At 35.1% G+C, this 15,222-nt stretch overlaps 1 annotated feature.

Annotated features, from left to right (window-relative positions):
• Positions 10,719-11,246: an enhancer, noted in NCBI's record as "NANOG hESC enhancer chr7:42845047-42845574 (GRCh37/hg19 assembly coordinates)". NCBI's record gives its function as "activates a minimal SCP1, AML or CMV promoter by ChIP-STARR-seq in naive H9 embryonic stem cells {active_cell/tissue: H9 hESC(naive)}" and the evidence as "EXISTENCE:reporter gene assay evidence [ECO:0000049][PMID:30033119]".

The following is a 15,222-nucleotide window of genomic DNA, read 5'->3' as shown; positions in this document are numbered from 1 at the left end:
ACTAGCAGTATATAAGGTTCCCTTTTCTCCACAGCTTCACCAATACTGGTTATTTTTTGTCTTTTTGATAATAGGCATTGTGACAGAGGTGAGATGATATCTTATGGTTTTAATTTGCATTTCCCTTGTGTTTTGTTGCTATTGAGTTGTATGGGCTCCTTATATATACTGGATATTAACTCCTTATTGGATGTACGGCTTGCAAATGTTTTTCTCCCATTCCATAAGTTATCTCTGCTTTCTGTTAATTATTTCTTTTGGTGTGCAGAGGCTTTTTAGTTTGATATAATCCCATTAGTCTATTTTTGCTTTTACTGCCTGTGCTTTTGGGATCAAATTTAAAAAAAATCATTGTTCAGACCAACATCATATAGTTTCTCACCATGTTTTCTCCTAATAGTTTTACAGTTTTGGTTTTAATATTTACATCATTAATCCATTTTGAATTGATATTTTAATATCGTGTCAGATAAGGGCCTACTTTCATTCTTCTGCATGTGGATATCTGGTTTCCCCAACACCATTTATTGAAGAACCTATCCTTTTCTCATTGTATATTCTTGGCACCTTTTTGGAAATAAATTGACCAAACATGCATAGGTTTATGTTGGGGCTTCCTATTTTGTTCCATTTGTTGATGTGTCTGTTTTTTTTTTTTACCAGTATCATGCTGTTTTAATTACTATAGCTTTGTAATATAATTTGAAATCAGGTAATGTGATATTTCCACCTTGTTCTTTTTGCTCATAATTGACTTGGCTATTAGGGATTTTTTTTGTAGTTCCATATGAATTTTAGGGTTTTTTTTTCTATTTCTATGAAAAAAGGCATTGGAAGTTTGATAGAGACTGCATTAAATGTGTACATCACTTTGGGCAGTATGGACATTTTAACAATATTCTTACAGTCTGTGGATATAGAATATCTTTTCACTTATTTGTATCTTCTTCAATTTATTTCACCAATGTTTTATGGTTTTCAGTGTGCAGATCTTTCACCTCCTTGGTTAAATTTATTCCTAAGTGTCTTACTATTTTCATAACTATTGTAGATAGGATTGTTCTCTCAATGTCTTTTTGGGATCGTTTATTTCCAATATACTGATTTCTGTGTTTTGATTTTGTATCCTATAACTTCACAGTATTTTAAAAAATTAATTCTAACAGTTTTTGGGTAAATTCTATTTTCTCTACATAAAATCATGTCATCAGCAAACAGTGATAATTTTACTTCTTCCTTTCCTATTTGAATGCCTTTTATTTTTTCTCTTGCTTAATTACTCTGGCAAGGATTTCCAATATTATGTTGAATAGAAGTGGTGTGAGTGGGCATCCTTATATTATTTCATATCTTAGAGGAAAGGATTTCAATTTTTCACTTTTGTGTTAGCTGTGGACTTCTCATATATGACCTTTATTGTGTTGAGGTATATGTTTTCTATAACTAATTTGATGACTTTTTATCATGAAATGATGTTTTTCTGCATCTACTGAAGTGATTATATGGATTTTATCCTTTATTCTGTTAATGTAATATATCACACTTATTGATGTGAACATTGAACCATCTTTGCATCCCAGAGATAAATCCCACTTGATCATGGTAGATAAACCTTTTAATGTGTTGTTAGATTGCTAGTGTTTTGTTCAGAATTTTTGCGTCTATGTTCATCATGGATATTTTTAAATTTTTTTGAATTTTTATTTCTTAAGCAGATCACCTGTCTAGAGCATATGTTCATCAAGGATATTGGCTAGTAATTTTCTTGTCTTGGAATGTCCTTGTCTAGCTTTGGTATCAGAGTACTGCTAGTCTCATTAAAAGAGTTTGGAAGCATTCTCTCCTCTTTAATATATTGGAAGAGTTTAAGAAGGATTGATGTTAGTTCTTTACATGTTTGCTAGAATTAAGCAGTGAAGTCATCAGGTCCTGGGCTTTATTTTTTTCTGATGAGAGACTTTTTGTCACTGATTCAATCATCTTATTCTTTATTGGTTTGTTCAGATTTTCTATTTCTTCATGATTGAGTCTTAGTAGATTGTATAATTTTAGGGCTTTATTAGGTTATCCAATCTGTTGGTGTATAATTGTTCATAGTAGTTTCTTACGAACCTTCGTATTTCTGTGGTATCAGTTTTATTTTCTCCTCTTTTCACTTCTAGTTTATTTGAGTCTCCTCTCTTTTTTCTTAGTTAATTTAGCTAATGGTTTGTCAATTTTGTTTATCTTTTCAAAAAGCCAGTAGATTTTTTTCATTTTTAAAGACAGAGTTTTTCTCTGTTGCCCAGGCTGGAGTGCAGTGGCATGATCGCAGCTCACTGCAGCCTCAACTTCCTAGGCTGAAGTGATTCTCCCATCACAGCCTCCCAAGTAACTGGGACTAAAAGTGTGTGCCACCATGCCTGGCTAATTTTTTAATTTTTTGTAAAGTCAGGGTCTCACTATGTCTCCCTGGCTGTTAACAAACTCCTGGCCTCAAGTGATCCTTCTACCTCAGCCTCCCAATGTGCTGGGAGTACAGATGTAAGTCACTGCATCCAACTTAGTTTATTGATGTTTTGCATTATTTTTCTAGTCTCTATTTTATTTATTTTTGCTCTAGTCTTTATTATTTTCTTCCTTTTGCTAACTTTGAGTTTAGTTTGTTTTCTTTTTCCTGTTCTGTGAGGTGTAACATTAGTTTGTTTATTTTGTAATCTTTCTTCTATTTTGATGTAGGCATTTATTGCCACAAATTTTCCTTTTAGAACTACTTTTGCTGTACACTACAAGTTTTGACAGTTTTGTTTCCATTTTCATTTGTCTCGATGTTTTTAAGTTTTTCTTTAATTTCTTTACAGACCAATTGATTGTTTCAGAGCATGGTTTAATTTCCATGTACTTGTGAATTTTGTTATTGATTTCTAGTTTTATACTATTGTGGTTGGAAAAGATACTTGATATAATTTCAATCTTCTTAAATTTTATGAGGTTTGTTTTATGTTCTAATATGTGATCTCTCTTGGAGGATGTTTTATGTACATTTTAAAAGATATGCATTCTCTTGCTGTTGGATGGACTATTCTGTACATGTCTGTCCAGTCCATGTTGTCTGAAGTGTTGTTTAAACCCAGTGTTTCCTTACTATTACTGTATTGCAATCTGTTCTCTCCTCAGATCCTTTAATATTTGTTTTACATGTTTAGATGCTCCAATGTTGGATATATATATATATATATATATATATATATATATATATATATATGTATATTTATAATTGTTATATCCTTTTGCTGAATTGAACCCTCTACTATGTTATAATATCTTTCTTTGCCTCTTACAGTTTTTGACTTAAGTTACATTTTGTCTGATATGATTATAGCTATTCCTCCTCTTTTGATTTCCACTTGCATGGAATGTCTTTTTCCATCCTTTTTCTTTCATCTATGTGTGTTCTTAAAAGCAAGGTGTACTCTTGTAAGCAGCATATAGTTAGATCTTATTTTTGTAAAATCCATTCAGTCATTCTACATCTTTTTGGAAGAACATAATCTGTTACGGTCAAAGTAATTATTACTAAGTAAGGACTTACTGCTGCCATTTTGTTAGTTCTTTTCTGGTTGTTTCTGTAGGTATTTTCTTTCTCTCTTTATGACTTCCTTTGTGGTTTGATAGTCTTCTATAGTATTATGGTTGAAATGCTTCTATTTTTGTTTTGTAATTTTACTAAAGATTTTGCTTTGTGGTTACCATGAAGCTTACAGACATCTTTCTTATCAACAGCCTACATCAAACTGGTAGTAACTTAACTTGAATTGCACATACAACTCTACATTTTTATTTCCCTTCCCACATTTTATGATTTTGCTGTCAAAATTTACATTACTTTGTAATGTAGCCCTTTGAAATTTATTTTAGCTATCATTGTTATTAATAGTTTTGTCTTTTAGCCTCATACTAGGGATAAAATTGCCTTATACACCATCATTATAGTCTTAGATTATTCTGATTATGGCTATGCTTTATTTATACCCTTGAAATTGCGCATTTATATGTTTCATGTTATTAATTAGCATATTTTTGTTTCAGTTTAAAGAAATCACCATAGCAACTCCTGTAAGACATTTTTAATGATGATGAAGTCTCTTAGTTTTTGTTTGTTTGGGAAATTTTTATTTCTCTCTCATTTCTGAAAGTTGTCTTTGCTGGTTAAGGAAGATTTGGTGGGCAGTTTTTTTCCCTTCAGTACTTTCAATTATTATCCTACTCTCCTTGCCTGCAGTTTTTGCTGAGAAATTTGTTGATAGACATATTGTCATTCCTTTGTATATGATGTATTACTTATCCCTTGCTGCTGTCTGAATTTTTCTTTGTCTTTGATTTTTGATAGTTTGAATATTATTTGTCTTAGTGTACTCCTTTTATGGTTGAATTTAACTGGGACCTATGTGCTTCCTGTACCTGGATGTTGTCACTTCTCTTCAGATTGGGAAAATTTTTAGGTATTTTTTTTTTTACATTTTTATTTTATTTTATTTTTTATTTTAGTAGGTTTTGGGGGAACAGGTGGTGTTTGCTTATATGAATAAGTGCTTTAGTGGTGATTTCTGAGATTTAGGTGCACCCATCACCTGAGCAGTGTACACTGTAACCAGTGTGTAGCTTTTCATCCCTCATCTACCCCACACCCTTTTCCCCAAGTCCCCAAAGTTCATTGTATCATTCTTAAGCCTTTGTGTCCTCATAGCTTAGGTCCCACTTATGACTGAGAAGATACGATATTTGGTTTTCCTTTCCTGAGTTACTTCACTTAGAGTGATGTTCTCCAATTCTATCCAGGTTGATTTGAATGCCATTATTTCATTCCTTTTTATGGTTGAGTAGTATTCCATGGTATATATGTACTACATTTTTTTTATCCACTTGTTGATTGATGGGCATTTGGACTGGTTCCATATTTTTGCAATTGTTAATTGTGCTGCTATTAACATGCATGTGCAAGTATCATTTTTGTATAACGAATTTTTTTTGGGACAGAGTCTTTGCTCAGCCTGGAGTGCAGTGGCGTGATCTCAGTTTACTGCAGCCTCTGTCTCCAGGGTTCAAGTGATTCTCCTGCCTCAGCCTCCCAAGTAGCTGGGATTACAGGCATGTGCCACCATACCTGGCTAATTTTTGCATTTTTAGTAGAGTCAGGGGCTTCTCCATGTTGGCCAGGCTGGTCTTGAATGACCAGACTCAAATGATCTGCGTGCCTTAGCCTCCCAAAGTGCTGGGATTACAGGCATAAGCCATCACATCCAGCTAATGACTTCTTTTCCTCTGGGTAGATACCAAGGATTGGGATTGCTGGATCAAATGGTAGATATACTTTTAGTTCTTTGAGGAATCTCCACACAGCATTCCATAGTGGTTGCACTAGTTTACATTCCCACCAACAGTGTAAAAGTGTTCATTTTCACCACATTTATGCCAACATTTGATTTTATGATCATGGGCATTCTTGCAGGAGTAAGGTGGTATTGCACTGTGGTTTCGATTTGCAGTTCCCTGGTCATTAGTGATGTTGAGCACTTTCTTATATGTTTGTTGGCTGTTTCTATATCTTCTTTTGAGAATTGTCTATTCATGTCCTTAGCCCACTTTTTGATGGGATTGTTTTTTTCTTTTTCTTGCTGAATTGTTTGAGTTCCTTGAAGATTCTAGATATTAGTCCTTTGTCGGATGTACAGATTGTGAAGATTTTTCTCCCACCCTGTGGGCTGCCTGTTTACTCTGCTGATTGTTTCTTTTGCTGTGCAGAAGCTTTTTAGTTTAATTAAGTCCCACCTATTTGTTTCAGTTGCATTCTGCTTTTGGGCTCCTGGTCATGAAGTCTTTTCCTAAGCTAATGCCTAGAAGGGTTTTTCTTAAGCTAATGCCTAGAAGGGTTTTTCCAATACTATCTTTTAAAATTTTTATGGTTTCAGGTCTTACATTTAAGTCTTTGATCCATCTTGAGTTGATTTTTCTATAAGGGAGAGATGAGAATCCAGTTTCATTCTTCTACGTGTGGCTTGCCAATTATCCCAGCACCATTTGTTGAATAGGGTGTCCTTTCTCCACTTTGTGTTTTTGTTGGCTTTGTTGAAGATCAGTTGACTGTAAATATTTGGCTTTATTTCTGGGTTCTTTATTTTGTTCCCTTGATTTATATGTTTTTTTTTTATACTACTATCATGCTGTTTTGGTTACTATGGCCTTCTAGTGTAGTTTGAAGTCAAGTAAAGTAATGACTGCAGATTTGTTCTTTTTACTTAGTCTTGCTTTGGCTATGCAGGCTCTTTTTTAGTTCTATATGAATTTTAGGATTTTTTTTCTGGTTCTGTGAAGAATGATGGTGCTATATTGATGTGAATTGCATTGAATTTGTAGATTGCTTTTGGCAGTATGGTCATTTTTACAATACTCATTCTAACCATACGAGAGCATGGGATGTGTTTCCATTTGTTTGTGTCATCTGTGATTTCATTTAGGAGTGTTTTGTAGTTTTCCCTGTAGAGGTCTTTCACGTCCTTGGTTAGGTATATTCCTAAGTATTTTATTATTTTTTTACATCTATCGTGAAAGGGGTTGAGTTCTTGATTTGATTCTCAGCTTGCTCGCTGTTGGTGTATAGCAGGGCTACTGATTTGTGTACATTAGTTTTGCATCTTGAAACTTTGCTGAATTCATTTACCAGTTCTAGCAGTTTTTTAGATGAATCTTTAGGGTTTTCTAGATATACGATCATGTCATCAGCAAACAGCAACAGTTTGACTTCCTCTTTACCAATTTAGATGCCCTTTATCTCTTTCTCTTCTGATTGCTCTGGGTAGGACTTCCAATATTGTGTTGAATAGACGTGGTGGGAGTGGGCATCCTTGTCTTGTTCCAGTTCTCAGGGAGAATGCTTTCAACTGTTCCCTATTCATAACAATGTTGGCTGTGGGTTTCTTATAGTTGGCTTCTATTACCTTAAGGTATGTCCTTTCTATGCCGATTTTGCTGAGGGTTTTAATCCTAAAGTGATGCTAGATTTTGTCAAATGCTTTTTCTGCATCTATTGAGATGACCATGTAATTTTTGTTTTTTATTCTTTTGATGTGGTATATCACATTTATTGACTTGTGTATGTTAAACCATCCCTGCATCCCTGGTATGAAAACCACTTGATCGTGTTGAATTATCTTTTTGATATGCTGTTGGATTCGGTTAGCTAGTATTTTCTTGATGATTTTTGCATCTATGTTTATCAGTGATATTGGCCTGTAGTTTTCTTTTCTTGTTATTTCTTTTCCTGGTTTTGGTATTAGGGTGATACTGGCATCATAGTAGGATTTAGGGAGGATTCCCTCTTTCTCTATATGTTTGAATAGTGTTAATGGGATTGGTACCAATTCTTCTCTGAATGTTTGATAGAATTCAGTTGTGAATCCATCTGGTCCTGGACTTTTTTTTTTGGTAACTTTTTAATTACCATTTCAATCTTACTGGTTGCTATTAGTCTGTTCAGAGTTTCTATTTCTTCCTGGTTTAATCTAGGTGGGTTGTTTATTTCTAGGAATTTATCCATCTCCTCTAGGTTTTCTAGTTTATGTGTGTAAAGGTGGTCATAGTAGCCTTGAATGATCTTTTGTATTTCTGTGGTATCAGTTTTAATATCACCCATTTTCTTTCTTTCCTTTTATTTTTGAGACAGAGTTTTGCTCTTGTTGCCCAGGCTGGAGTGCAATGGCGTGATCTTGGCTCACTGCAGCCTCTGCCTCCTGGGTTTAAGTGATTCTCCTGCCTCAGCCTCAAGAGTAGCTGGGATTACAGGCGCCCACCACAACGCCTGGCTAATTTTTTGTGTTTTTAGGAGAGACGGGTTTTGCCATTGTGGCCAGGCTGGTCTTGAACTCCTGACCTCAAGTGATCTGCCTGTCTCAGTCTCCCAAAGTGCTGAGATTACAGGCATGAGCCACCGCACCTGGCCTCACCAGTTTTGTTTCTAATTGAGCTTAGTTGGATCCTCTTTTTTTCTTCGTAAATCTCACTAATTGTCTATCAATGTTATTTATCATTTCAAAGAACCAGTTTTTGTTTCATTTATCTTTTGTATTTTCTTTTGTTTAAATTTAATTTAATTTTGTTCTGATCTTGGTTATTTATTTTCTTCTGTTGGGTTTGGGTTTGGTTTGTTCCTGCTTCTCTAGTTCCTTGAGGTGTCACCTAAGATTGTCTATTAGTGCTCTTTCAGACTTTTCTATGTAGGCATTTCATGTTATAAATGTTCCTCTTAGCACTGCTTTTGCTGTATCCCAGAGGTTTTGATAGGTTATGTCACTATTATCATTCATCAATAGGTCAAAACTAAAATCGAGATGGAAATTAATTTATTGTTGATTCAATGGTCATTTAGGAGTAGATTATTTAATTTCCATGTATTTGCATGGTTTTGAGGGTTCCTTTTGGAGTTGATTTTCAATTTTATTCCACTGTGGTCTGAGACAGGACTTGCTATAATTTCATTTTTTCTTAAATTTGTTGAGACTTGTTCTGTTTTCTATCATATGGTCTCTCTTGGAGAATGTTCCATGTGTTGATGAATAGAATGTATATTCTGCAGTTGTTGGATAGAATGTTTTGTAAATATCTGTTAAGTCTGTTTGTTCTAGGATATAGTTTAAGTCCATTGTTTTGTTGTTAATTTTCTGTCTTGATGACCTGTCTCGTGCTGTCAGTGGAGTATTAAAGTCCCCCACTATTATTGTGTTGCTGCCTGTCTCATTTCTTAGGTCTAGTAGTAATTGATTTTATTCATTTGGGATTGCCAGCATTAGGTGCATATATATATAGAATTGTGATATTTTCCTGTTGTACTAGTCCTTTTATCATTATATAATGTCTCTCTTTGTCTATTTATTTATTTATTTTGAGATGACGCTTCACTCTTGTTGCCCAGGCTGGAGTGCAATGGTGTGATCTCAGCTCACTGCAGCCTCCGCCTTCCAGGTTCAAGCATTCTCCGGCTTCAGCCTCCTGAATAGCTAGGATTACAGGCACCCACCACCACACACAGCTAATTTTGTGTATTTTTTTAGTAGAGACAGGGTTTCACCACATTGGCCAGGCTGGTCTCAAACTCTTGACCTCAGGTGATCCACCCACCTCAGCCTCCCAAGGTGCTGGGATTACAGGCATGAGCTACCGCACCTGGCCTCTCTGTCTTTTTTAACTGCTGTTGCTTTAAAGTTTGTTTTGGCTGATATAAGAATAGCTACTCTTGCTTGCTTTTGTTGTCCATTTGCATAGAATATCTTTTTCCACCCCTTACCTTAAGTTTATGTGAGTCCTTATGTATTACGTGAGTCTCCTGAGGACAGCAGATACTTGGTTCATGAATTCTTATCCATTCTGCCATTCTGTATCTTTTAAGTGGAGCTTTCAGGCTATTTATATTCAACATTAGTATTGAGATGTGAGGTACTATTCTATTCTTCATGCTATTTGTTGCCTGAATACCTTGTTTTTTTTTTTCATTGTGTTATTGTTTTATAGGTCCCGTGCAATTTTTGCTTTAATGAGATTTTATATTGGTGTATTTTGAGGATTTGTTTCATGATTTAGAGCTTCTTTTAGTAGTTCTTGTAGTGCTGGCTTAGTAGTGGCAAATTCTCTCAGCATCTGTTTTTCTGAAAAGGACTGTATCTTTCTTTCATTTGTCAAGCTTAGTTTCACTGGATACAAAATTCTTGGCTGATAAATGTTTTGTTTAAGGATGCTAAAGATGGGACCCCAATCTCTTCTAGTTTGTAGGGTTTCTGCTGAGAAATCTGTTGTTAATTTGATAGATTTTCCTTTATAGGTTACCTGATGCTTTTGCCTCATAGCTCTTAAGATTCTTTGCTTTGTCTTGACGTTAAATAACGTGATGACTGTATGCCTAGGTGATAATCTTTTTGTGATTAATTTCCCAGGTGTTCTTTGAGCTTCTTGTATTTGGATGTCTTGATCTCTAGCAAGGCTGGGGAAGTTTTCCTCAATTATTCCCTCAAATATGTTTTCCAAACTTTTAAATTTCTCTTTTTCCTCAAGATCACCAATTATTCTTAGGTTTGGTCATTTAATATAATCCCAAAACTTCTTGGAGGCTTTGTTCTTTTTTTTAATTCTTTTTTCTTTGTCTTCTGAGATTGGGTTAATTCAAAAGCGTTATCTTCAATCTCTGAAGTTCTTTCTTCTACTTGTTTGATTCTATTGCTGAGATATTCCAGTGTATTTTGCAATTCTCTAAGTGTGTCCTTCATTTCTAGAAGTTGTGATCGTTTTTTATTTATGCTATCTATTTCAATGGGGATTTCCCCATTAATAACCTGTATCACGTTTTTGATATCTTTAAGTTGGTTTTCACCTTTCTCTAGTGCCTCCTTGATTTGCTTAATAGTTGACCTTCTGAATTCTTTTTCTGGCAGTTGAGAGTCCTGTGATGTAATCCATCTTCAGGTCTGTTAGCTGTGCTGGTATCCCTAAGCTCCCAGGAGATTATGTCCTTTGTCTTAGGCTACCAGCGCAGGTAGAGAAAGACCACTGGGTAGGGGCAGGGTTAGCCATGTGTGAGCTCAGGCTCTCCTTGGGCAGGGCTTACTGCAACTGCAATGGGGGATGGCAGCATGGTTCCTAGGCCAATAGAGTTATGTTCCCAGGGGATTTTTGGCTGTCTCTACTGCATCACACAGGTAACCAGGGAAGTGGAAGAAAGCCAGCAGCCATAGGCCTCACCCAGCTCCCATGCAGCCTACAGCATGAAAGATTGGTTTCACTCCCATCGTACCCCCGCAACAGCAGTGAGTTTATTTCCAGGAAGCTGGTGAGCATGACTGAGAACTTGCCCCAGGCTACAAGCCTCCCAGCTGAGAAAGCAAGCAGACTCACAGTTTCTCCACTGTCCCATGGAGCAATCCTTCTTCAAAGGATCTGTGGATTCTCTCAGCTTCAAAGGATCTGTGGATTCTCTCAACAAAGGGTCTGTTGCTGTCCCAACAGCAATCCACCTCCTTCAAAGGATCTGTGGATTCTCTCAGCTTTCCTGGTACAATTCTGTGGTAGTTCTTGGAGCAAAGTTCACAATGTGGGTCCGCACATGCTGCTCTGTCCATCTGAATGGGAGCTGCAAGTTAGTCCTTCCTCCTATCCATCATTTTTCCTCTTCTATTCTAGGTATTATTTATTTAAATGTGTTTTCTGTCCCTTTTACATTATCTTCCTTCTGTAACTCCTGTTACACAAAGGTTTGGTCTCTTGGTGGTGTTCCATAATTTTCATAGGCTTTCTTTATTCTTTTATCTTTCTGCTCCTCTGACTGAATGATTTAAAATGTTCTGTCTTCAAGCTCACTAATTCTTTCCTCTATTTGATCAAGTCTGGTTTTGCAGCTTTCTGTTAAATTTCTATTAAATTTTTCACTTTAGTCACTGTATTCTTCATTTCTAGGATTTTTATCTGTTTCTTTTGTTTCCATTTCTTTGTCAAACTTTTCACTTTGTGTATTGTTTTCCAAATTTCATTAAACTTTTTATGGTATATTCTTGTAGTTCACTGAACTTCTTTATGAGTATTATTCTGAATTCTGTGTCTGTCATTTTATAGATAGATCTCCATTTTTGTGGGTCTACCATGGAAATTTTATTAGTTTATTTTGGAAGTGCCATGGTTCCCTGATTCTTCATAATTCCTGCATCCTTGTGTTGTTGTCTGAACATTTGAGATGACAGCCTCTCTCTTGTCTTCACAGGTATTCTTTGCTAGAGATGGACCTTCACTTTAATGTAGTCTGTGATTCTGCAAGGGACAACTGATGATGACCCTCACTGACCCTGGGCAGGCAGAGCTGTTGTGAGTTTTCTAGTTGTCTGGGCCACTGATTTTGGCCAGCTGTGTATTTTCTGGGATCCAATATCTGGTAAGGTCACTGGCTGGGCTCTGCTATCAGGCAGAGCTTCTGGCTAGATAACTCAATGGATTCTAGTCAGTCTGTTCACAAAATGTGTTTCCTGCTCCAGGTAACTCCAGTGTTTGCAATCTGCAGTTGTGAAAGTTTTAATTATGAGTGGATATTCAATTTTGTCAAATAAATTTTCTGCATCTATTGATATGATCATGTAATTTGTCTTCTTTGTTGTTGTAATGGATTATATTATTTGATATTTTTAACGTTGAACCAGGCTTCCATACCTGGAATAAATCCTACTTGTTTGCAGTGTAAAATTCTTTTTACATATTGTTAGATTTGATTTGCTAACATTTTGTTGATAACTTTTGCATCTATGTTCATTAAAAATATTGATCTATAATTCTCTTTTCTTGTAATATCTTTGTCTGGTTTTGGTATAAGGTAATTCTGGCCTCATAGAATGTGTTAGAAAACTTTCCTTTTGCTTCTCTCTTCTAAAACAGAGTGTAGAGAATTGGTATAATTTCTTCTTGAAATGTTTTTTGGAATTCACATGTGAATGTATCTTGGCCTAGTGCTTTTTCTTTGGGAAGATTATTAATTATTGATTCAATTTATTTGACACAAGACTATTTAGATTGTCTATTTCTTCTTGTGTGCACTTTGGCAGATAGTGTCTTTCAAGTAATTGGTCTGTTTTATCTAGATTATCAGATTTGTGGGCATAGACTTTTTCCTAGTATTTCCTTATTATTCTTTTAATGTCTTTCTTCATTTCTGATATTAGTAATTTGTGTCATCCTTTTTTCCCCCTTAGCCTGACTAGAGGCATATTAATTTTATTGATCTTTTCCAAAGACCAGCTTTGGTTTTATTTATTTTCTCTATTGATATTCTGTTTTCAATTTTATTGATTTCTGCTCTAATTTTAATTTGTTTTCCTGCTTACTTTGAATTTAATTTGCTCTTTTTTTTCCTAGTTTCCTAAGGTATAGCCTTAGATTACTGATTTCAGATCTTTCTTCTTTGCTAATATATGCATTCAATGCTATCAATTTTCATCTAATAACTGCATTTGCTGCATTCCACAATTAGAATAACTTTTGTTTTAATTTTGATCTTTTAAAAAATATTTTTAAATTTCTAATGAGATTTTATTTCCAACTCCTGTGTTATTTAGAAATGTGTTGTTTAATCTGCAAGTTTTGAGATTTCCCAGCTATCTTTCTGTTATTTGCTTTTAGTTTAATTCCATTTTGGTCTGAGAGCTGACATCATATGATTCCTAATTCTCTTAAATTTGTTAAGGTGTGTTTTATGGCCCAGGATGTGGTATATCTTGGTGAAGGTTCCATGTGAACTTGAGAAGAATGTGTACTCTGCTATTGTTGCATTAAGTTATCTAAAGGTGTTAATTATATACAGTTGATCAATGGTATTTTTAGTTCAACTATATCCTTACTGATTTTATGCCTGCTGAATCTGTTCATTTCTGATAGAAGGGTGTTGAAGTCTCCAATTGTAATAGTGGATTCATCTTTTTTTTTTTGTAGTTCCATAGGTTTTTGCCTCATATATTTTGACACTCTGTTGTTAGGCTCATACTCATTAAAGATTGCTATATAATGTTGGAGAATTGGCTCCTTTATAATTATGTCATGTTTCTATTTATTCCTAATAAATATGCTTGTATGAGGTTTGTTTTGTCTGAAATGAATAGAGATACTTTTGCTTTCTTTTGCTCAGTGTTAGCATGGTATATCTTTCTCCACTTATTAGTATTTACTCTTAAGCCGTATGTCTCTTCATATTTAAAGTGGATTTCTTATGGACAACATGTATTTTGGTCTTGTCTTTGATTCACTCTGATCTCCATCTGTTAATTGGTACATTTACATCACTGTTGTTCAAAGTAATTTTGCTATAGTTGGATTAACATCTACAGTGTTTATTACTGTTTTCTTCTATTTATTGCCCTTGTTCTTTGTTTGTATTTTTCCTTCTACTCTTTTCTGCCTTTTGTAATTTTAACTGGGTGTTTTGCATCATTGCATTTTATCTCCTTTCTTAGCATATCAATTATCCTTTTTAAAACACATTTTTAAGTGATTGCTCTAGAGTTTGAAACATACACTTACAACTAACCGTAGGCTATTTTCTTTTTCTTTATTTATTTTCACCTTGTTGTACTTTAATATGTAATACTTAACTCAAGGTACAAGACAATTGTATTTAACATTGTTATAAATAAAAGGGACATCAGATCAATCATTAAGGGCTCCAGAGTGAACAGCATGTTCATAACCTCCATGTTTATCATCTTTACTTTCTGGATGTAATTTAATAAGATCATCAATTCAAAGAATGGTAATTGCAGCTTCTGTGCAAATTTCAAATTTATTTATTTATTTATTTATTTATTTATTTATTTTTAGTATACTTTAAGTTCTAGGGTACATGTGCACAACGTGCAGGTTTGTTACATAGGTATACATGTGCCATGTTAGTTTGCTGCACCCATTAACTCGTCATTTACATTGGGTATTTCTCCTAATGCTATCCCTCCCCAAGCCCCCCACCCCATGACAGGCCCCAGTGTGTGATGTTCCCCTCCCTGTGTCCAAGTGTTCTCATTGTTCAATTCCCATCTGTAAGTGAGTACATGTGTTGTTTGGTTTTCTGTCCTTGTGGTAGTTTGCTCAGAATGATGGTTTCCAGCTGCATCCATGTCCCTGCAGAGGACATGAACTCATCCTTTTTTATGGCTACATAGTATTCCATGGTGTATATGTGCCACATTTTCTTAATCCAGTCTATCATTGATGGACATTTGGGTTGGTTCCAAGTCTTTGCTATGGTGAATAGTGTCGCAATAAACATACGTGTGCATGTGTCTTTATAGTAGCATGATTTATAATCCTTTGGGTATACACCCAGTAATGGGATCGCTGGGTCAAATGGTATTTCTAGTTCTAGATCTTTGAGGAATCGCCACACTGTCTTCCACAATGGTTGAACTAATTTACACTCCCACCAACAGTGCAAAAGCCTTCCTATTTCTCCACATCCTCCCAGCATCTGTAGTTTCCTGAATTTTTAATGATCGCCATTCTAACTGGTGTCAGATGGCAAGTTGGATTCCTAAGTATTTTATTCTCTTTGCAGCAATTGTGAATGGGAGTTCACTCATGATTTGGCTCTCTGTTTGTCTGTTACTGGTGTTTTGATTTGCATTTCTCTAATGAACAGTGATGATGAACATTTTTTCATGTGTCTGTTGGCTGCATAAA

This window comes from Homo sapiens, chromosome 7 (genome assembly GCF_000001405.40).
Source record: "Homo sapiens chromosome 7, GRCh38.p14 Primary Assembly".
NCBI classification, from domain to species: domain Eukaryota; kingdom Metazoa; phylum Chordata; class Mammalia; order Primates; family Hominidae; genus Homo; species Homo sapiens.
The sequence above is the reverse complement of the archived record's forward strand: the minus strand, read 5'-3'. Positions and strand labels throughout refer to the sequence as shown.